General features: G+C 45.4%; 2 protein-coding genes across 5 annotated transcripts in view, besides 2 other annotated features; one reads left to right on the forward strand and one right to left on the reverse strand.

The window, feature by feature from the left end:
- Positions 1,512–2,711: an enhancer, noted in NCBI's record as "P300/CBP strongly-dependent group 1 enhancer chrX:151987738-151988937 (GRCh37/hg19 assembly coordinates)". NCBI's record gives its function as "activates an origin of replication core promoter dependent on BRD2, BRD4, P300/CBP, MED14 and CDK7 cofactors, with strong dependence on P300/CBP, by STARR-seq in HCT116 cells {active_cell/tissue: HCT116}" and the evidence as "EXISTENCE:reporter gene assay evidence [ECO:0000049][PMID:35650434]".
- Positions 9,312–13,075, reverse strand: CETN2 (centrin 2). The gene is made up of 5 exons (NM_004344.3): positions 13,026–13,075; positions 11,920–12,078; positions 11,467–11,595; positions 10,855–10,992; positions 9,312–10,248 (listed from the first exon to the last, which is right to left on the reverse strand). The coding sequence occupies exons 1-5, from the start codon at positions 13,026–13,028 to the stop codon at positions 10,159–10,161; spliced, it is 519 nt and encodes a 172-aa protein (NP_004335.1). The 5' UTR covers positions 13,029–13,075; the 3' UTR covers positions 9,312–10,158.
- Positions 12,975–13,314: a silencer, noted in NCBI's record as "silent region_21058". NCBI's record gives its function as "represses an Ori minimal core promoter by ATAC-STARR-seq in GM12878 lymphoblastoid cells {active_cell/tissue: GM12878}" and the evidence as "EXISTENCE:reporter gene assay evidence [ECO:0000049][PMID:35858748]".
- The window catches only part of NSDHL (NAD(P) dependent 3-beta-hydroxysteroid dehydrogenase NSDHL), a 38,667-nt gene continuing 29,693 nt past the window's right edge, over positions 13,381–22,354 (forward strand). Inside the window, exons 1-3 of one of the 4 annotated variants that reach the window (NM_001441099.1) lie at positions 13,381–13,435; positions 13,952–14,018; positions 15,289–15,382. Coding sequence is in view for 1 of the 4 variants with exons in the window: in XM_017029564.2 (XP_016885053.1) it covers positions 17,041–17,045 (5 nt within the window). In the remaining 3 variants the exon portion in view is untranslated. Of the gene's footprint in view, positions 13,436–13,951; positions 14,019–15,288; positions 15,383–16,917; positions 17,046–22,354 lie in introns of those variants that run through there. The other 3 variants (NM_001129765.2, NM_015922.3, XM_017029564.2) reach the window with 3 other exon arrangements.

Genomic DNA, 22,354 nt, shown 5'->3' on the forward strand with positions numbered 1-22,354 from the left:
CCAATGTCCCAGTTTGAAGGCCTTCAAGCAGGAGGGATTCTCTCTTACTTGGGGGAGAGTTGGCCTTTTTTTTCTATTCAGGCCTTTAACTACCTGGATGAGGCCCACCCACATAATGGGTGGCAATCTTTACCCAGTCTCCTAACTCAAATGCTAATCTCATCCAGAAACACCCTCACAGACACACCGGGAATGACGTCTGACCAAATGTCTGGGCACTCCGTGGCCCAGTCCAGTTGACACATAAAATTAACCATCACACTAGCCATATGGGCCTTTTAGGGAGCCTGAACCCATAGCAGGAAGCTCTGGTGCCTTGAGCAATTGTCCGGATGGGCATTATAGGCAGTTAAAATTCTAAGCAAGAAAGATTAAGAAAAAAACAAAAGCGTGTAGGCCAAACTGGAGAGAAAGAGAGTGCAGTGGCAATGCTATTCGGGTTTCTTTCCTGCTCAGAACCCCGTGATGACTCCTCATCCCCCATAGAACATACCCTTACCTTATGGGGTTTGTGAGGCCTGACTCACTGCCTGCCTCCTGCTGCCACCACACATGCTTCTTCACTGTTCCTCACTTGTGCCAAGCCTGTTGCTGTTTCAGGGCCTTTGCACTTGCTGTTCCATCTGCCTGGGCACTCTTTCCCAGATCCTTACAGGGCTTCATGGCAAGGCCTTCCCTGACCACCCTCCCCAAAATAGCACCCCCTCCATCCATTTCCGCCTCCTTACCCCCCTTTATTTGTTTGAGCTTGTTTCCTGTCTTCTTCACTAAAATGTAAATTCCACGAGGCCAGGGACTTTATTTTTTTTCTCTGCAAGGCCTGGATCGGAATAGGTGCTAAGTATTTGCTGAGTGAGTGGATAAATGAATAAATGAATAAATGCAAAAGATAGAAGGAGGGGACAGATCTAGTGATGGATAAAAAGCACATACGAAATGGTGTGGATCCTAACGAATAATTAATCTGGGGAAAGCTAAAGCTGAAAATGAATTGAGGCTTTAAGAAAATGCTGAAGACAGATAAGTAAAATGCCTTTTAGTCAGTGTAAGGAAGTGTGAGAGCAATTTCTTGGAAGAAAATAAATCCTCTTTTGTTGGCATTTTTCCTTCCAGAAGATTGATCTTCAAGCTAAAGAAAAGTTGGAGGAGAGGGAGGAGAGAGAGCGGGAAATCCAGACAGCTGGTGAAGTTGCTAGATCCCAGAGGCTCCAAGGAGCGATTGATTGCAGGGGATGTCTAGATAGTGACAGAGAAAGCGTCATAGAGATCCCCAGGCCCCAGAGCAGCAAGGAAGCAGCAGCCTCATGCCCTCAGGCATGGCATAAAAATAATGCTAGAGCTGCCTCACTGAAAAAAATCCCGAAGGGCCAGGAAGCAGGCTGAACTCAGCCAATGTCTGTATGGACAGAGGATCTCTAAACCAGCCCCCACCCCCAAACACACACACACACACACACACACACACACACACACACACACACACAGAGCTATGGCACAATGCTATGGGTTTGCATATTTTTCTCCATGCCCCCCAGAATGATGTCCAAATCTAGAGCAGTGGGTGTGAATCTTGGCTCGTGAACTCTTTGAACAAATCTGATGAAAATTGCCACATGTGCATTATTTCAGGGAATTTAAGGAAATTTCAGGAATTCTCCTCCAGGCGATTCATGGACACCTGAAATCCAAGTGCCCCAGGTTAGAAACTCCTGTTCTAAGGGTATATTCCTCAATTGCAGCACTTGGATTAATGATGTAACTCCTTAACCCTAGAGTTGAAGATTGCAGCCAAATTCTTAGTGTATTCATTCAACAAATATGTATTGATTGACTGTCATGTAGCTTATTTAATCCTCACAACTGCCCTTGAAGTAGATTATATTAATACCACCCTCACTCTTGACAGATGAAACAAACGAGGTACTGGGGCTTTGGGTAACTTGCTACAGGTCACTCATTTTGCACTAGTCACTAGTAGGAGCAGAGCCAGTGGTGGAACCCCAGAAATTCAGCTTTAGAGACATTTTACTGCTACCCCACGATGCCTCTTACGAGGTTGGCATCTGTCTTTCAGATAGCCCCGTTCACCCTGAAAACATGTCTCTTAGACTACATATAGTAGGTTAGACATGAAAATCCCACCACCAACGACATCCGGAGGCTCTGTCACCCTGCCTCTGCTTATTCATCGTTCCCATGGTTTGCTGACTCAGTTTTAATCATTGGTTTACCTTCTGGATCTATTTGTATGAGGGATTGCACAAATATTTCCCCACATCCAACATCTCGCAAGGAGATGGACTCACGTGCATGTTCAAGTTCAGTCTCCAAGTTGAGAAGAAAGCTTTCTGGTAGCAATGCTGCACACACCCAGGGGCTCATGGATCTCTCAGGAGAGGCCACATCCAGTGTCCATGAAGTCATGAGTTCTGCAGCATAGATTCCAAGTTCAGCTTTTGTTTCATCAACATTACTGTGTGCACTTCTGGTTGAGACACTTAGGGGAACAGAGAAAGTTCTTCAGTAAAAGAGAGGATGTATGAGCTTCCTGTGGCTTCTGTAACAAAGTACCCATGGACTGAGGAGTTAAACAACACAACTACATGGTCTTGCAGTTCTGGAGGCTGGAAGTCAAAGATCAAGATGTCAGCAGGGTGAGCTCCTTCTGAGGGCTGTGAAGAAAGGATGTGTTCCAGGCCTCTCTCCTTGGCATGAAGATGACTGTCTTTGCCCTGTGTCCCTTCACATCATCTTCCCTCTACACGTGTCTGTGTCTCTGTCCAAATTTCTCCTTTTATAAGGAAATAAATACTGTAAATATATATATATTTTGCACTATAATACTGGAAATATTTATATATTCCTAGTGTTTATTTATATATGTATATTCCCAGTATTCATATATGTATATATTTCCAGTATTTATTTATATATTTATTTGATATAAGGAAATACTGGTTGTATTGGATTAAGGCCTACTGTTGTAAACTCACTCTAACTTGATTACCTCCACAAATACCCTACCCCCAAATAAGTTCACCTTCTGACGTCCTAGCAGTTAAGACACCAACATATGAATTTTAGAGGTCACAATTCAACTCATAACAAGGGATAATGGTCAGGAAGAAAAAGAGCCACAGAATGCTAGACATTTTTAATGAGTTAATAAATCCTTGCTATAGGATCAACAAACTTAGTAAGTTAATAAACCTGATGATGGATGGATGGAGCATTGTACCAGGCACAAAGCCCGGCTATGATGACATCAAAGGCACCCTGCTCTCTTCTGTTGAGAAGTGTTCAAAGTAGTTAGGGAGTCTCAATGAGCCCATGTAGCAGGTAAGCAATCTTGATCGCTCACACTCAAAAATGCAAATGTATCATTTTGTTCACTTATAGCTAGACTTAATAGGGTATCCATTCAAATGACCTGTCATTCCATCAGTGCCCACACCTGGTGACTTTTTCCAAGGGGTCCACAGCCCCACCAGGATTCTCCCCACTGTGGCATTATCTCCATCACACCCCAAGGCTAGATGAGACCACAGCCCTCCAAGGCTAAATGAGACCACAGCCCTCTTGGGGCACTAGGAAGATCCAGCTTAAACCACTGCTGAATTCAAGGTAATTTAGTGGCACTGCCTCAGAACCTCTCTGTCCTGGCACCCCACCTAGTGGCAAGGGACATATCTGCAAGACTGCTGTCTTCCAGAATTCCAGCTGGGACGCAGTCCTCTATTTGAAAACAAGTTTTCTGGAAGGAGGGAGCTCTGAGGAGGAGTTTCACAAGGAGAAGAACACAGATTTGGGATAAGATGGGGGGACAATATTTCAGTAGGGACAATGACAGAGACATGAGTACATATATATATAGCAACTAACTTTATATGAAGGGAAACACACATAGACATGTATTAAGGACACGGTGTCCAAGTCAGAGGGAAAAAGAAAAACAGGCTAATTAATGAGCAGCCATCATCTGTGGCAAAGAGGCATCAGGCTCTACGCTAGCCTTTGTTTGCTGTCTTTGACCTCTCTGCACCTTTGTTTTCTAGATGAGCAAACTGAGGCTTGAGGGGGTTGAATCCTTTCCCCCAAAACCACAGCTGCTGGGTTGAAGAGTTGGGATTTTAACCAGGGGCGGCTGAATCAAAAGGCTAGGTCTCTTCCCTGAGCAAAATAATGGCATGACAAAGACAGTACTGCAGATTGTCTTGGGAAAAGACAGGACAGGGAAATCAGCTAGGAGGACATTTCAGCAATCTGAATTTGAGTTGAGGTGGTGGCTTCAGAAATGAAAAAGAAAGGGGTGGATGAGTGTGAATACTGTAGGGAAAGTCTGGGTGACATATAAGGCAAAGACAAAAAAGAAAATGAAAATGACATCAATCCTCTAAACCACTGCATCAGAAAGATAAAGGCAAACGGTGGTGGTTAAGGAGAGGCTTGGAAGACCAGATGACTGGGAGGCTGCAGGGAAAAGCTAGAAATGAGGGTAACTTTAGCTCCAGATACAGCAAGTGCTGATGGCGATGTTCTTTGAAATGGGTCCACAAACCCACATAAGAATTTGGAGGGCTACTGACAGAGATTTGGGTCAGCAAATGGGTCCGATATGTCCGAGCATGGCACACAAGGATGATGTCTCAGCTTCACAGCTGCAGCTGATGCAGAGGCACTATTTTTGCTACAACTGAAGATGTGGCCATTCCAGCGGCTTCCAGCATGTAGGACGATGAACTAAGCAGGTCATGAGACATGGAGTGGAGAAAGGAGCAACCTGCTGTAAGATACTTCTCACTAATGGTGATGGAGGAGCTAGCTCAAAAAGGGGTAGCTTCTGCACTGTGCAGGAACTTGACACCATCTGGACAGCAAGCCGGTCCAGTCCAACTGAAGGGTGACTAAGTGTATAGTGGGCTGCCTACTGGCCTAGAGTAGTGACTAAGTTGCAATTCTCGTTAAACTGTTGTTTTGAGTGTATTACTTCCTTCTAGCATATTGTCAAAATTCTAGTATTCAAAGGTGTGACAAAAACATAAAATAAAGTTGAGCAGCCCTGGAATACAGTTATCCTTGACAGCAGGAGTCCCTCAAGGGAAGAGCTGCTCTAAGATCAAGTTTTGAGGTTGGCCCAATGACAGTCAGACATCCTGGCACTTGAGGTTGCATTTGAAAGGTCAGCATTCTCAAAAGCCAGATTGAACTTTAAGGAAATTTCCCCCAGTGGATGGTAGGGAGCCACGTGGTCCCTGAGACACCTGGGTCTAACCTCACAGTCTAACTCCTAGGCTTCCTAAAGAGGTGGTTAAACAAGAAAAGTGGTAAAAAATGTGTTCTTTCTTCTCTTCCCGGTCATCATAGAACTTAAAAAAATCTCAGTCCCAGCAGCTGTTCCATGTCTTACAGAGACAGAAACTGAACCACCTCCTTTCTTAAATCATTTCGTTATATCAGGCTTGAGCATGTCTACCAACAAATTCTGCTGTTCACAGTAGTTCTAACACTTGGAAGCAAAGAAAAGACGAATCTGCTGGACAGGTTTTTCAAGGAAATTTAGCACAACCCTAAGTTATTAAGGAGGCCCACAAGACCAAACACAAACTGACTATTCTCCCTCTCCGTCCCCCTACCCTTCCTCCCCTCCGGCTCTCTGGTCCATCCTCAGGGAACTGGCCTGCATTCCCTAGCCCTCTCCACCATCCCGCCAGATCTCTCTAGTCCAACCCCATATCAACTGACCTCTGCTCTCTCTCCATCCCCATCCCCTTATCCCCCCCATCCCCCTCTACCTCTCTGGTCCAGCCCCACATGAACTAACTCTGGGCTCAATCTCCTTCCCAGTACCCAGTCCATTGTGAGATGACCTCTCTTGCTCCCTATGTCTCTAAGCCTTTGCACCTGTTTGCTCCATCTTTGCATGAACTAATCTCTGCTCCCTCTACTTTTCCATCCCCCTCAACTCCTCTGGCATCCCTCTGGTCCAGCCCCACATGAAGGAACCCCTGCTCCCTCTTCCTCCCCTTTTTCTCCAACTCTGATTGAACTTTTTAGTTCAACCTCACATGAAGCAATCTCTGACCTCTCTAGTTCAAAATTCCACCCCCACCCTCCTGCAGCTCTCCAGTCCAACCCCGCATGAACTGCTCTCTGCTCTCTCCTGTGCCCTGTCTCCCCCCATTGCACTACTGCCCTCTGCCGCAGCTGCACATGAATGAATCTTTGCCCTCTCTCCAGCCCAATCCCTACACGCAACCGACATTTCTTTGGTCCAGCCCCACATGAACTGCCCTCTGCTTTCTCTCCTGCCCCTTCCCCACCACCTCCCTACATTGGTCCGTCCCACGCTGCATGAACTGACCTCAGTCCCTTTACTTCTGATCTTCTCCCACTCCCCAGTGTCCTTCTGGTCCAGTCCCACATGAACTGACCTCTGTTACCTCTCCATTCCAAACCCACCCCACTCCTCCATCTCTCTGGTCCACCCGCAAGGGCTGACCCCTGCTACCTCTGTCTCCCTGCCTGTCCCCTGCAGCTCTGAAATGACCGGTATTTGAACCCACTCACCCTGCCTCTCCCTCCCTAACAACAAAATGGGAGGCAGGGCCCAGTCTTTTCACTCCTCTCCAATAGTATATGTCTTTATGCAATCATATGCCACCTTCACACCCCTTAGAACTTACCCAGTCACTCTCCCTACATCTCTCTGGTCCAGCCCTCCATGACATGAACTCAGCTCCATCTCCTTTCCTTCCCCTTCCCCACCATACATCTCTGGTCCAGCCACACGTGAACTAAGCTCCGTTCCCTCTCCTTTCCCTTGCCCCACACTCCGGCTACCTCTGCAGATACAGCCACACATAAGCTGTCCTCAGTGGCTTTTCCTTTCCCTCTCTGACGCTCTGCATCTCTCCAGTGCAGCTGCACAGGAGCTGGCCTCGAATGCCTCTCCCATGCCATCCCATTCAGCCTTCTGCATCTCTTGGTACAGCCTACATGAACTGACATCTGCTCCCTCTAAGTGTGCATCGCCACTTCATCCCCCTCCAGCTTCCTGGGCCAGCCCCACATGAACTGTCATTTCCCCTCACTCCCTCACAACTCTATTGTCCACATGAATAAGCCACTAACTCTACAAACCCACCCACTGACACTCCCATGAAAACTCAGCTGCATCCTCACATGAACTGATCCCTGCTCCCTCTCACTCCCTTCCCCCTACCCCTGCTCCCCTGCACCTCTCCGGGACACCCCATGCACGGATCTTTTCTACTTCTCTGTCCCTATCCTCTGCAATTTCCCTTCATCTCTTGGTCCAGCCCCACGTGAACTGACCTCAGTTACTTCTCCATCCACATCCTCCCCCGCCTTCAGGACTCTTTTCTGCCTCCACATGAACTGAGCCCAGCTCCCTCTCCTTCCCCATCTTCCTGATCCCTTTACAGCTCTCTGGTCCAGCCCCACTGACTCATGCTCCCTCTCCGTCCCCATCTTCCTGATCCCTTTACAGCTCTCCGGTCCAGCCCCACTGACTCATGCTCCCTCTCTGTCCCCATCCTTCCACTGAATAACTGCACACCTATGTTAGAATGGCTGCCAGGCAAAGACCTTATGTTTGCTTTTATCCTCAGGGATAACCTATTACTTGCCACTCTCCGTCCTGTCTCAAGAGATTCCTGAGAGATTTCATTTATGGGAATATTAAGCAGGAGGAGATAAGAATGTCTCCAGGATAGTCCATTAGCTTAATTTAGCCATTCAACAATGTATACATCTTTCAAAACATCATATTGTACACCATAAATATATACAATGTTGTCAATTTCAAAACTTCTTTTTAATTAACTTTTTTTTCCTTATCCCTGAAACTGTTTTTTTTTTTTTAAGTTAAGTTCCGGGATACATGTGCAGGACGTGCTGGTTGCATAGGTAAACGTGTGCCACGGTGGTTTGCTGCACCTATCAACCCATCACCTAGGTGTTAAGCCCCACATGCATTAGCTATTTATCCTGATGTTCTCCCTCCCCCCACACCCCCACCCCCACTGCCACCGACAGGCCCCTATGTATATTGTCCCCTTCCCTGTAACTACGTGTTCTCTCTGTTCAGCTCCCACTCACGAGTGAGAACAAGTGGTGTTTGGTTTCCTGTTCCTGGGTTAGTTTGCTGAGGATAATGGCTTCCAGCTCCATCCATGTCCCTGCAAAGGACATGATCTCGTTTAATTAACTTTTTTTCAAAAGAGTGTTTCCAGGGTTACAGTTAACAGTAAAATTGGAGGCAGGGCCCAGTCTTTTCACTCCTTTCCAATATTATGTCTTTTATCCAATCATATGCCTCTTATTAGAAAATCACAATACAACAAAGGTCAAATCCTCCTAGGAAATGCTATCAACACACTTTGGGGACAGTAATGATAAAAGCTTCATGGACCCACATTTAACAACAAAGCTTATGTGATAACTGTAGCAAAAGAATGGGAGTAAGACTGAACACTTCTGAATCCTCTTGTTCTTGAATACCTTCAAGCCAGGTCCTCTCTGTAAGTTTGTATTTCACCTCCAGTGATTCTGAGTAGGCACAACTCTTCTCCCCATCACACAGACATCAAACTCCAGGCACCTAGAGAAGTAGCTTGCCCCAAATTGCCCGATGAGGAAGTGGGTGTGTGTGAGAATCCAGGGTTTGGGCTAGTCTGGGCTCTTCCCCCAAGTTTTTCTTAAGGAGCAGTCCCTCGGCATGAGACTCATCTGGGGGATATGGTAAACTTCATATTCCTGGGCCCCCAAGTCCTACAGGATGTCAGGGTCCAGAGGCATGAGACCGAGGGCCAGGCTTCTGGCCTCTGTAACGTGCTCCCCGGGTAGGGTTACCAGTGGCAATACAGGATGCTTAGGTAAATTTGCATTTAAGATCAACAATGAATAAACAAAAAATACAAATGGGATATAGTCATACTAAAAAAAAGGCATCATTGATCTGAAATGCAAATTTACCTCAACTTTCTTTTTATTAGCTGAATCAGGCAACCCTATCCCCAGAGGACTAGCCTACCCCCAGAAGTTTGAAAATCTGTTTTCTCCCTCTCCATGTGAACAAACGAGCATTCCATCATTGTTCATTTTCTATTCTCCCTCACCCCTTCTGCCTCCCCACTCTCACCCTGGAGCAGAGACTTTAATGTCATCTACCAGGATTTCTCACACAGGGAATCCCGGGCAAGGCCAGGAAGATGGTTGGATGGGGTCACTCAGCCCAACCCACCTCCAAGAGTCGATGAGATACCATAAGCAAATAAATTCACGAGAGGTTGGCTGAATCCATCCTAGTGTTGCGTTAGCCTGGCTCTCCCCATTTTATTCAAGCACAAATTACTAACAAGACTCTTTTCCAGTCTTAGCTTTGCCAAAACTATTTTTAGAGCATCATTTAGGCTTAGGTGATATAAAAATTCTGCTAGTTTTACAAACCAGCAGCCTTCCAAGGCAAAAAGCAATTCATGCCAGGAAAGTAGCAAAGGATTATTCATTTTCTGTCCATAGGCTGGTAAGGAGTTTTGTATCTAATAGGCTGCCTTCAACACAATAATTGAGAAGAGGAACTCATAAGCAAAGCTAAAGAACTCATCCTTAGAGAATACAAGTTCAAACTGAGAAAGGTTTTACTTTTAAGACAAAACAAATAGCATTAACACACATCCAAATGCCAGTGCAGGAGTTCACTGGGTTTATAAAAGAGAAAACTAAACTCAAGTGTCAAATAAAAACTGGAGCCGTCAAGAATGACTGCTTGTGGCAACACAGGTGTAACATGTGCTTGTCTAAAGTCGTTCTGTGTTTGTGGATATGTGGAAATGCATGACGAGGGAAACGATGCAAGGCAAAATGGCAGGTGCTCAAAGCTTTAAGATCCTTTTCTTCACGCTTGTGTGCTCTTGTTTTGCTTTTGAGAATTAGGGTAATTCGCAGGTCATTTTACAAAGAACTGTAATATCAAAGAACACTTCCAAACGGCTAAAATAGGCTCAAGGTCACTATTAAAGTGATAAAGGGAGGTCCGTGGGGGAAAAGTTTGTGTTCTCAAAAGCCAGATTTCACACCATGGCAGGCACTAAATCTAGTTACATGTGCTTGCAGTAGAAAAAGAAGACACTGATCTTAATAGAGGCTGGTCTTTTTCATGATGCGCAGGAACTCTTGCTCACTGACCTCTCCATCTCCATCTCGATCAGCTTCATCAATCATTTCCTATATGACAGTAAAGATTCAGGTTAATTTATAAACTAATGCCAAAAGGTGACTAAGTAATAGACTTTTTTTTTTTTAGAGATGGGGTCTCTATGCTGCCCACACTGGTCTCAAATTCCTGGCCACAAGAGATCCTCCTGCCTCAGCCTCCCAAAGTACTGGGATTATATGCATGATCCACTGTGCCTGGCAAGCAATAGACTTTTAATCTATGTGAATAGATAATTTGTATCTATGTGAATAGATCATTGTAGTCCACCCAATGCCAGTATGCTACTCCTGATAATAGCTTGGTTTCTGAAAAGTTATTTGAAAACCAACTCATACTTTGTCAAACATATCACCTGGGAGGGACCTTGAAGATTGCCTTGACTAGAGGGATTCCTGGAACCTAAAATAGTAAGCAAAATTGTGCATATGTGCATTTTTCTGGAAGCAGGGTTCATAGGTTTGTCTGACTATTAAAGGAGAATTAAGTTGTCTGCAGAGGGACAAAGTACACTGGCTTTTCTTCAAAGAGGTGCTCACACTAGGGAAAATGTAATGGAAAAGTCACAGAGGGCTCAAAGGTGGGAATTTTAAGTTCCAGTGTGATGCATTACAAACCTGCAGCTCCTCATCAGTCAGGTTCTCACCCAACTCCTTGGCCACGCGTTTCAGATTTTTGAACGAAATCTTCCCAGTTTCATCATCATCAAAGAGCTTGAAAGCTTTCAGGATTTCTTCTTTAGTATCTTTCTCAGACTTAACAAGTAGAACATAAAACACATGAGTAGGGGGACACCACGGTTGGTTACTACTGTCCTGTAGCCCTGCCACTGCCTGGTCAGGTCACCCTTTCCTTTTTAACAATGTAACTCGAGTCTAGACTTGCGGCAAGTGTCAGGAAGCCCATTTTGGCCTCAAAGAAACACCAGGCAAGCCAGGCACTCCATCCAAGGTGACGTTTGCTACCTATCGCTATATCTCTCCCTATCCCATATCTATTTCCTAACTGATTTGGAATTCTGTGGGAAGAGGTATCTGCTTGGAAGTCTTGAGAAAGAAGCACAAGGGCTTGTTTTGGGAGCCCAAAGTAACATGATGGGAGGGCAGGCCTCCTGATGCAGTTGCTACCTGGACTGCTCTGTGGTCACATGACTGTTTTAACAGGAAGACGCCATGGACCTCTGCAGATGACTGGGGCTCCATACCATGATAATTGTCTTAGCTACTTACCATTTTCTGGGTCATCACAGTTAAAAAGTCACCAAAGTTCATTTTTCCTGTCCCTTCCTTATCAATTTCACTTATCATTTTCTTAATTTCTTCTTTCTTGGGTTCAAAGCCCAGGGCCCTCATTGCCACCTATAAAGAAAACAGGATCGTCTCAATAAGCACATCTAAAGTAGCAGGAGCAAAAATAACAGTGTTGAGAGCATTAAGCCAGCATCTGATGTGGTCATGTTAATATGATTGGGGAACACTATGACATTGATCTAATTGATATTTGCAATCAATTTTATTGAATAATACTCAAAGTAAGTAAAGACAGGAAAACAGCACAGTACAACCTCCCCTGTTACTTACTGCAGGGAGAAGAGGGCAAAAGGGGTAGAGAGGTGATAGGGAGATGACAAGGAAGAGGCAGAGGAAAGGAAGGGCAGTACGGCAGGAATGCACAGAGCTTGCCTTCAGTTCTTTAACATCTATGGTGCCAGTTCCATCCGCATCGAAAAGATCAAAAGCTTCCCGGATCTCCTGCTTTTGCTCTTCAGTAAGCTCAGGCTTAGGGCTCATTCTTTTTCGCTGAGAACTTGATGCCATGTTTGCCTTCTTAAAGTTGGAGGCCTTTATATGTTATGCAATACACAAGCACAATAATATATCATACAGTCCATATTTACATAACATAGTTACAGACACCCATATGTATTTTTAAAGTCATTTATATAACCAATTCCAAAGCTTTGCTTAAAAAGAAAGATAACAGGGTTTACTGGCAAGAACAATGAATCTTTCCATGAACTTCTACCCCTCCCTTTTCTTTACTGTTGTTTCTAGAAGCAGGGAGATCACTTGTTCAGTAAGGACACCTCTTACTGAAAATCATCCCAAAAGAGAGCCAGTCAAGAAGATGACTGTGAATAACTAGAGATAATCAGCTCTTCCCGAACGTGGGGATCCTGGTTCTGAAAACAGTCTTACGATGCCCACTCCCAGTACTCCCCTTCCCAGTAAGTACTCCGACTTCCCAATTACTTCTAGATTTGGCCAAATATTAGTAAGTTGTTAAGATGTATATTGTGTCAGTACCGAGTAATAAAACTCAATCCATCTGGCACCTTCGTGCCTTCTCCAAGAAGCTAAAGCATCCCCTGAATGCCCCTGTATTTAAATTGTAAAAAACATTGTAACAGAACACGATACACCTTTTCCCAGCTGTGTGTGGAAATTTTGGCAGAATGAGGAGGCCAGGGGGCCAAGGTCTGAGAGAGTCAGGGGCCTGTGAGGGATTCGAGTCTTTTTTGCCCAGGGAGGTTCACCGAGGGGATCAGGGAATGCAAGGGGAGCCCGAGGGGCGGGTGTGGGCCTGTTGTGGGTGAAGAGGAGGCAGCAGCGAAGCGCAGGCCCAGTAGGTTGGTTAGCGTCTGTACCCTACTCTCCCGGGAAAGAGCTCAAAGGAAAGACTGGTGCGCTAAAGCCGAGAAAGGCGCAGGAGAGGCGGCGTGGCCGAGCTGGGGCCTGGGAAGGGCTCAGCCGCTGGGCGTGGGGCGCGACAGAGCGGCAGCACTCACCATAGCCAAAGGAGTCCGCTGCCGGTTGTTAGGCAACCGACGTGTACACTGACTCGGCGCCGTTCCCACCGCCCCGCGCGCGCAGCCCCGCTCCCCATTGGCCGTCCGCTCGTCGCCGCCTCTCCCTATTGGTGCAGGGCCGAAGAGGGTGGGACTAACCTGGCAAAGCCCCGGCCCAGCGCGGGGAGGGGCACGCTGGCGACAGAGCCCCGTCTTTATTGGGCAAGATCACGCCGTGAGCGCCAATTGGCTGAGTCGTCGCCGAGCTGGGCCAATCCTCTTGGTGGAGGAAGCTCGGCTGATTCTCGGCTCACGCGGGAGGGGAGTAAAGGGTGGCGGTCCGGGCCTGGAGTTCAGTGGGTGCAGCCTGCTTGCGAGCTGAGGCCAGACAGGGGGGCGCCTACGGACGGGTAAGAGTCGTGGCCTTGCCATTGGAGGTCACCCTGTGTCAGCGACTGGGCAGTGCGGGAGGGTGGGGAGCTACGGGGTCGCCCGGGTCGGGTGCTTTCTGGGTTGACCTAAGGCTGAGTTTAGGGACCGAGTGCATCAGAGCAGCCAGAAACGATTACCTTGCGTGTTGGAGCAGGGACTGTACTCACGGGGCAACTGAGACCCGGAGAGGGGAAGGGGTGTGCTGAGTGTTGTCGCAGAGGTCGGACGGCTGGGACCTAGGAACTGAATCCAGCCGAGGCTCGCTCTTTGAGGGTGGCCCTTCGAGAGCACCCCTAGACTGACCCAGATGTATAGGCCCCAGACCAGGTTCCAAGAGAGGATCACTTTAGATCTTACCTGGCTAAAAGCAGCCCAGGACGGTGAACTGGGGCCTTTGGGAACGGACTTTGAAAGGAGTGAGGGGGATGTGAGCGAGCATGAGGGGCGGGGAGAGGTCATCAAAATATACTCTTTTTGACACCCACACAATGCAGATAAGGAGGAGCATTCCAGGCCGAGACGCCCTCATCAGCAGAGTCACAGGAGTTTTGGAAGTGAGAGGTATGCTTGGAGAATTAAAAGGGAGCGTGTGCAAGGGCTGTGGACTGACATAGACCTGCAGAAGTGGAGCTGGAGGTCCAGTTTGCCCTCTTTAGCTATCCCCGTGGCTTTTAGCCTTCACCTGTTTTTCCTCCAGGCATAGGGGCAGTAATCTAGGGAGACAGAGGGCAGAGAGTAAGTTTCTCAGACAGAGAAAGGCCCGAGGCTTATTAGAACCTTTTAAATGGAGCTGCTGCCCTTTGCCCTCTTCTCTCTTCAGCAGTGAACAGATTCCTGACTTTTGGGTCATCATCATCCCCCCAAGTAGTACGAGCCAGAGTTCTCACTGTGATCTCCAAAGCTTGGCACGACGTGTCCCCTTCCATCGCTCCACAACTCTTCTCTCGTCTGGCTCACTCCAGCCCCAGAACACTGGCTTTGTGGTTGAACCTCATGTGCCAGCCACACTCCTGCCTCTCATCTTTGTCTCAGTTGTCCTCTCCGCCTGCCTCCTCTTAGGCACCCTATTTAAGTATTGCAGCCCCCAGTACAAACAAGCCACTCACCTTGCTCTACTTTTTTTTCCAACAGTTCTTATCCCCTTCTGACCTACTGTATATTTTGCTTGTTTGTTTTGCTCTTTGTTGTCCCTCCACTAGAAGGCAGGCTGTCTGAGGGCAGGCATCTTTGTTGTATTCACTACTGGTACTCCAGGACCTAGAACAGAGAGGGGCACATATTAGACAACTGATGAGTAGCTCCCCTGTTTCCCAGCTCTCACCTAGCTAGTCCTCCCTGCTCTACCAGGTTAATCTTCGTAGTGAACGGCCCTGGTCAGGGCATCTCCCTGCTCTTAAACCTTCAGAGCCTGAACCGTAAAGGGCTCCTTAGCCTGGCCTGTGATCCCTCTGCCCAGTTTTGCCCCTGGTAACCCTTCTAGCTTAATGTCCCTCCATACCTTGCTTCCCAGTCCGTCAACCTGCAGATCGGAAGCCTGACAGAGTACAAGGGAAAAACACAAGTTCTGCGCAGGCTGTGTGCAGGCTGTGTGACCTTGGGCAAGTCGCTTAACCTCTCTGAGCCTGTTTCTCATTTGTTGAGTGAGACCAGTACTGTCTACCTGATGGGATACTTTTGCATCTCAATGGGATGAACTACTTATATGTAAAGTGGCCTGATGTTGAGCAGGTCTTCAGGCAGTATTACAGTTGACCCCTGAACAACATGGGTTTGAACCTTGTGAGTCCATTTACAGGCAGATTTTTTTCTCATCTCTCCCACCGCTGAGCAGCAGGATCAGCTCCTCCTCATCTTCCTTCTCAGCATACTCATCAGGAAGACCGTGAGGATGGAGACCATGATGATCCACTTTCACTCAGTGAATAGTAAATATATTTTCTCTTCCTTATGATTTCATAGTAACATTTTCTTTTCTCTAGCTTAATTTATTGCTGGGACACAGTATGTAATACATGTAATGTACAAAATATTTGTTCATCAACTGTTTACATTATTGGTAAGGCTTCCAGCCAACAGTAAGCTATATTAGTGAAGTTTTAGGTGAGTCAAAAGTTATATGTGGATTTTTGACTTCGGGGCTCCGTGCCCCTAACCCCCACATTGTTCAAGAGTCAAATGTAGTTCTTGTCTCTGATTTGCTCTTGTCATTCCCCCCCGCCCACCATGCCTGGAGCCTTAGACTTGTCCAAAATCTCTTCCCTGCACTGCAGCCAAGGTGATCTTTCCAGTCGCAACACTCACTCCTGCTTCCAACTTCTAGGGGCTCCACCATCTTTCCCCCCTTGTAACTCCCTAGCTTGGCACACAGCCCCCACATGTTCTCAACTTTGCTCCCGATCTTGCTTCACACTTGCTGTGACACAGCTTGTCACTGTTATAAGAACATGCTGGCTCTGTGCCATCACTTTGTCCTTCCCACCCTGGCCATGGAATGTCTTTCAGGACACCATGCGCTCTGTTTTACTCACTCTTCTGGGGCCTTTTGAAGTCAGCTTAGGGATCTCCTAGTTGGGGCAGGCTTCCCTGAGCCAGCAGCCTGCATTGGTGCTCTGGGCTTGCCCTCATCAGAGTGGAAACGCACTTCTGTGACTCTTTGCTTGCTCCTGTCTCCCACCCTAGATGGCGGGCTCCTTGAAGGTTGGCAGTGTGTCTTTGTCAGCTTCTGCCTGGTAGTGGCTGGCATTTGATAACTTGTGAATGAGGAAATCAATGCATGAGGTGACACCTGGGGGTTCTTTTACAAGTTACAGCTCCCGCTTTAACCCTGGGGGTTTGTTTGAGCCTCACAGTAGCTCTGAGGTAGGGAAGAAGGACGCTGTTTTACAGATAAGGCCTCATGGCCAGCGGCAGCACGATAATTCACTCAAACCCATCTTCCATTCCAGGCTGTCTGCTGGGCCTCCAGGGGCTCGTGGTGTCCTACAGGGTGCTGAGTGTGAGGATGAGAGCAGAAACAGGTGCTGTGGAAGCGACTCACCTTCCCTGGGGAGGGGGAGGAAGTTTCACAGAGGGGGCAGTTCAGCTAGGCCTTGAAGGAAGAGGAGGCACTCACCGTGGAGAGGAGAGAGAAGGTATTCCATGCAGAGGAACAGCGTAAGCTAAGCTCACAGGCATGCTGCTGGGTTTCTGAGAGGTCTACCACAAAATAAAAGCTGGCGACTTTTTTTGTCCTAAAAGTAAATAGAGAAACAAACAACTGGTGGAAACATGGACACCGCAGGTCCGTGGAAGGACAAGGTCAAGCTGGGTTGCCCCAGCATAATCAAGGCTAAAGTGACACCTCTAAAGAGAAATGACCTCCAAGCTATTGGCCTCACTAATCCTAATCTGGGTATTTTCTTTCCCATATCACATCTTTGAATTCTGAAAGGGAGGCTTTATTGTTGTTCCTACAGGGCTCCTGCTTTGCTGTATTTTCTCTAAGAAATATGTCCATAATGAAGGTGTGTGCCGCCTCAGGTGAATCCTTCTCTTTGCATCTGATCATCTGGCCCAGTCCTGCAGAGGAGGCCAAGCATGAGGCATGAGGTGATGGGAAATAGGGGAATCCTCTTTTATAATCCAAGGCTTAGGCCCCCATTTCAGGATTCCAAAGAAAGTTCTAAGAAACATTACTTGGCATTCCTTGGATAGCCAAACTCTACTGAGGTGTTTGGGGAAGGGCAGTTTGCCTGGCATTGTCTGCCCATGGACTGAAGGGATGAGCTCTCAGTGGCCACATTCTAGCTTCCTGCACTGGACCTTGTGCAAGGGTGGGGCTCCGACAACCTTTCCCCTTTACAAAGATGTCACACTTCTTTCTAGAAGGACGGGACGCTCTCATCTCTCTCCCTAGTTTGAGACAGAATGTTCTCTCCTTTTCCCTCCAGGAAATGTTCCCCAGCAGGAAGGAGGAGGTTGGGCTAACTCGCTTCTCTCTTCTCGCTTCACATGAGGCGGCACACACCTTCATTATGGATGTGTTTCTTAGAAAAAATACAGCAAAGCAGGAGTCCTCTAGGAGCAAACGTAAGGCCTCCCTTTCAAGATGTGATATGGGAAAGAAAATACTCAGATTAGGATTAGTGAGGCCAGTGGCTACAAGGTCACATCTCTCTTTTTTTTTTTTTAATTATTATTATACTTTAAGTTCTAGGGTACATGTGCACAACATGCAGGTTTGTTACATAGGTATACATGTGCCATCTTGGTTTGCTGCACCCATCAACTCGTCATTTACATTAGGTATATCTCCTAATGCTATCCCTCCCCCAGGCCCCCACCCCCCAGGCCCCAGTGTGTGATGTTCCCCGCCCTGTGTCCAAGTGTTCTTATTGTTCAGTTCCTACCTATGAGTGAGAACATGTGGTGTTTGGTTATCTGTCCTTGTGATAGTTTGCTGAGAATGATAGTTTCCAGCTTCATCCATGCCCCTACAAAGGACATGAACTCATCATTTTTCATGGCTGCATAGTATTCCATGGTGTATATGTGCCACATTTTCTTAATCCAGTCTATCAGTGTTGGACATTTGGGTTGGTTCCAAGCCTTTGCTATTGTGAATAGTGCCACAATAAACATATGTGTGCATGAGTCTTTATAGTAGCATGATTTATAATCCTTTGGGTATATATACCCAGTAATGGGATTGCTGGGTCAAATGGTATTTCTAGTTCTAGATCCTTGAGGAATGGCCACACTGTCTTCCACAATGGTTGAACTAATTTACACTCCCACCAACAGTGTAAAAGTGTTCCTATTTCTCCACATCCTCTCCAGTATCTGTTGTTTCCTGACTTTTTAAAGATCGCCATTCTAACTAGTGTGAGATGGTATCTCATTGTGGTTTTGATTTGCATTTCTCTGATGGCCAGTGATGATCAGCATTTTTTCGTGTGTCTGTTGGCTGCATAAATGTCTTCTTATGAGAAGTGTCTGTTCATATCCTTTGCCCACTTTTTGATGGGGTTGTTTGTGTTTTTCTTGTAAATTTGTTTAAGTTCTTTGTAGATTCTGGATATTAGCCCTTTGTCAGATGGGTAGATTGCAAACATTTTCTCCCATCCTGTAGGTTGCCTGTTCACTATGATGGTAGTTTCTTTTGATGTGCAGAAACTCTTTAGTTTAATTACATCCCATTTGTTTATTTTGGCTTTTGTTGCCATTGCTTCTGGTGTTTTAGTCATGAAGTCCTTGCCCATGCCTATGTCCTGAATGGTATTGCCTAGGTTTTCTTCTAGGGTTTTTATGGTTTTAGGTCTAACATTTAAGTCTTTAATCCATCTTGAATTAATTTTTGTATAAGGTGTAAGGAAGGGATCCAGTTTCAGCTTTCTCCATATGGCTAGCCAGTTTTCCCAGCACCATTTATTAAATAGGGAATCCTTTCCCCATTTCTTGTTTTTGTCAGGTTTGTTAAAGATCAGATGGTTGTAGATGTGTGGTGTTATTTCTGAGCGCTCTGTTTTGTTCCATTGGTCTATATCTCTGTTTTGGTACCAGTACCATGCTGTTTTGGTTACTGTAGCCTTGTAGTATAGTTCGAAGTCAAGTAGTATGATGCCTCCAGCTTCGTTCTTTTTGCTTAGGATTCTCTTGGCTATGTGGGCTCTTTTTTGGTTCCATATGAACTTTAAAGTAGTTTTTTCCAATTCTGTGAAGAAAGTCATTGGTAGCTTGATGGTGATGGCATTGAATCTATAAATTACCTTGGACAGTATGGCCAGTTTCACAATATTGATTTTTCCTATTCATGAGCATGGAATGTTCTTCCATTTGTTTGTGTCCTCTTTTATTTCGTTGAGCAATGGTTCGTAGTTCTCCTTGAAGAGGTCCTTCACGTCCCTTGTAAGTTGGATTCCTAGGTATTTTATTATCTTTGAAGCAATTGTGAATGGGAGTTCACTCATGATTTGGCTCTCTGTTTGTCTGCTATTGGTGTTTAGGAATGCTTGTGATTTTTGCACATTGATTTGGTATCCTGAGACTTTGCTGAAGTTGCTTAAGGAGATTTTGGGCTGAAACGATAGGGTTTTCTAAATATATAATCATGTCATCTGCAAACAGGGACAATTTGACTTCCTCTTTTCCTAATTGAATACCCTTTATTTCTTTCTCTTGCCTGATTGCCCTGGCCAGAACTTCCAACACTATGTTGAATAGGAGTGGTGAGAGAGGGGACCCCTCTCTTGTGCCAGTTTTCAAAGGGAATGCTTCCAGTTTTTACCCATTCAGTATGATATTGGCTGTGGGTTTGTCATAAGTAGCTCTTATTATTTTGAGATATGTCCCATCAATACCTAATTTATTGAGAGATTTTAGCATGAAAGGCTGTTGAATTTTGTCAAAGGCCTTTTCTGCATCTATTGAGATAATCATGTGGTTTTTGTCTTTGGTTCTGTTTATATGCTGGATTACATTTATTGATTTATGTATGTTGAACCAGCCTTGCATCCCTAGGATGAAGCCCACTTGATCGTGGTGGATAAGCTTTTTGACATGCTACTGGATTCAGTTTGCCAGTATTTTATTGAGGATTTTTGCATCGATGTTCATCAGGGATATTGGTCTAAAATTCTCTTTTTTTGTTGTGTCTCTGCCAGGCTTTGGTATCAGGATGATGCTGGCCTCATAAAATGAGTTAGGGAGGATTCCCTCTTTTTCTATTGAGTGGAATAGTTTCAGAAGGAATAGTACCAGCTCCTCTTTGTACCTCTGGTAGAATTCGGCTGTGAATCCGTCCGGTCCTGGCCTTTTTTTGGTTGGTAGGCTATTAATTATTGCCTCAATTTCAGAGCCTGTTATTGGTCTGTTCAGGGATTCAACTTCTTCCTGGTTTAGTCTTGGGAGGATGTGTGTGTCCAGGAATTTATCCATTTCTTCTAGATTTTCTAGTTTATTTGCATAGAAGTGTTTATAGTATTCTCTGATGGTAGTTTGTATTTCTGTGGGATCGGTGGTGATATCTCCTATATCATTTTTTATTGTGTCTATTTGATTCTTCTCTCTTTTCTTCTTTATTAGTCTTGCTAGCGGTCTATCAATTTTATTGATCTTTTCAAAAAACCAGCTCCTGGATTCACTGATTTTTTTTGAAGGGTTTTTTGTGTCTCTATCTCCTTCAGTTCTGCTCTGATCTTAGTTATTTCTTACCTTCTGCTAGCTTGTGAATGTGTTTGCTCTTGTTTCTCTAGTTCTTTTAATTGTGATGTTAGGGTGTCAATTTTAGATCTTTCCTGCTTTCTCTTGTGGGCATTTAGTGCTATAAATTTCCCTCTACGCACTGCTTTAAATGTGTTCCAGAGATTCTGGTATGTTGTGTCTTTGTTCTCATTGGTTTCAAAGAACATCTTTATTTCTGCCTTCATTTCGATATTTACCCAGTAGTCATTCAGGAGCAGGTTTTTCAGTTTTCATGTAGTTGTGCAGTTTTTAGTGAGTTTCTTAATCCTGAGTTCTAATTTGATTGCCCTGTGTCTGAGAGACGGTTTGTTGTGCTTTCTGTTCTTTTACATTTGCTGAGGAGTGCTTTACTTCCAACTATGTGGTCAATTTTGGAATAAGTGTGATGTGGTGCTGAGAAGAATGTATATTCTGTTGATTTGGGGTGGAGAGTTCTGTAGATGTCTATTAGGTCTGCTTGGTGCAGAGCTGAGTTCAATTCCTGGATATCCTTGTTAACCTTCTGTCTTGTTGATCTGTCTAATGTTGACAGTGGGGTGTGAAAGTCTCCCATTATTATTGAGTGGGAGTCTAAGTCTCTTTGTAGGTCTCTAAGGACTTGCTTTATGAATCTGGGTGCTCCTGTATTAGGTGCATATATATTTAGGATAGTTAGCTCTTCTTGTTGAATGGATCCCTTTACCATTATGTAATGGCCTTCTTTGTCTCTTTTGATCTTTGTTGGTTTAAAGTCTGTTTTATCAAAGACTAGGATTGCAACTTCTGCTTTTTTTTGCTTTCCATTTGCTTGGTAGATCTCTCTTCATCCCTTTATTTTGAGCCTATGTACGTCACTGCACGTGAGATGGGTCTCCTGAATACAGCACACTGATGGGTCTTGACTCTTTATCCAATTTGTCAGTCTGTGTCTTTTAATTGGGGCATTTAGCCCATTTACATTTAAGGTTAATATTGTTATGTGTGAATTTGATCCTGTCATTATGATGTTAGGTGGTTATTTTGCCCGTTAATTGATGCAGTTTCTTCCTAGCATTGACAGTCTTTACAATTTGTCATGTTTTTGCAGTGGCTGGTACCAGTTGTTCCTTTCCATGTTTAGTGCTTCCTTCAGGAGCTCTTATAAGGCAGGCCTGGTGGTGACAAAATCTCCCAGCATTTGTTTGTCTGTAAAGGATTTTATTTCTCCTTCACTTATGAAGCTTAGTTTGGCTGGATATGAAATTCTAGGTTGAAAATTCTTTTCTTTAAGAATGTTGAATATTGGCTCCCACTCTCTTCTGGCTTGTAGGGTTTCTGCCGAGGGATCTGCTGTTAGTCTGATGGGCTTCCCTTTGTCGGTAACCCGACCTTTCTCTCTGGCTGCCCTTTACATTTTTTCCTTCATTTCAACTTTGGTGAATCTGACAATTATGTGTCTTGGAGTTGCTCTTCTCGAGGAGTATCTTTGTGGCATTCTCTGTATTTCCTAAATTTGAATGTTGGCCTGCCTTGCTAGGTTGGGGAAGTTCTCCTGGATAATATCCTGCAGAGTGTTTTCCAACTTGGTTCCATTCTCCCTGTCACTTTCAGGTACTCCAGTCAAATGTAGATTTGGTCTTTTCACATAGTCCCATGTTATTTGGAGGCTTTGTTCATTTCTTTTTACTCTTTTTTTCTCTAACCTTGTCTTCTCACTT

This window comes from Homo sapiens, chromosome X, assembly GCF_000001405.40.
Source record: "Homo sapiens chromosome X, GRCh38.p14 Primary Assembly".
Taxonomy (NCBI): domain Eukaryota; kingdom Metazoa; phylum Chordata; class Mammalia; order Primates; family Hominidae; genus Homo; species Homo sapiens.

What these genes read in the sequence shown, in the direction of transcription:
- CETN2 (NM_004344.3), bottom strand. An exon ending in TAGATGTTAAAGAACTGAAG is followed by an intron (nt 11,596 to 11,919) that starts GCAAGCTCTGTG and finishes TTTTCTTTATAG; the next exon opens with GTGGCAATGAGGGCCCTGGG. An exon ending in CTGTGATGACCCAGAAAATG is followed by an intron (nt 10,993 to 11,466) that starts GTAAGTAGCTAA and finishes CTACTTGTTAAG; the next exon opens with TCTGAGAAAGATACTAAAGA.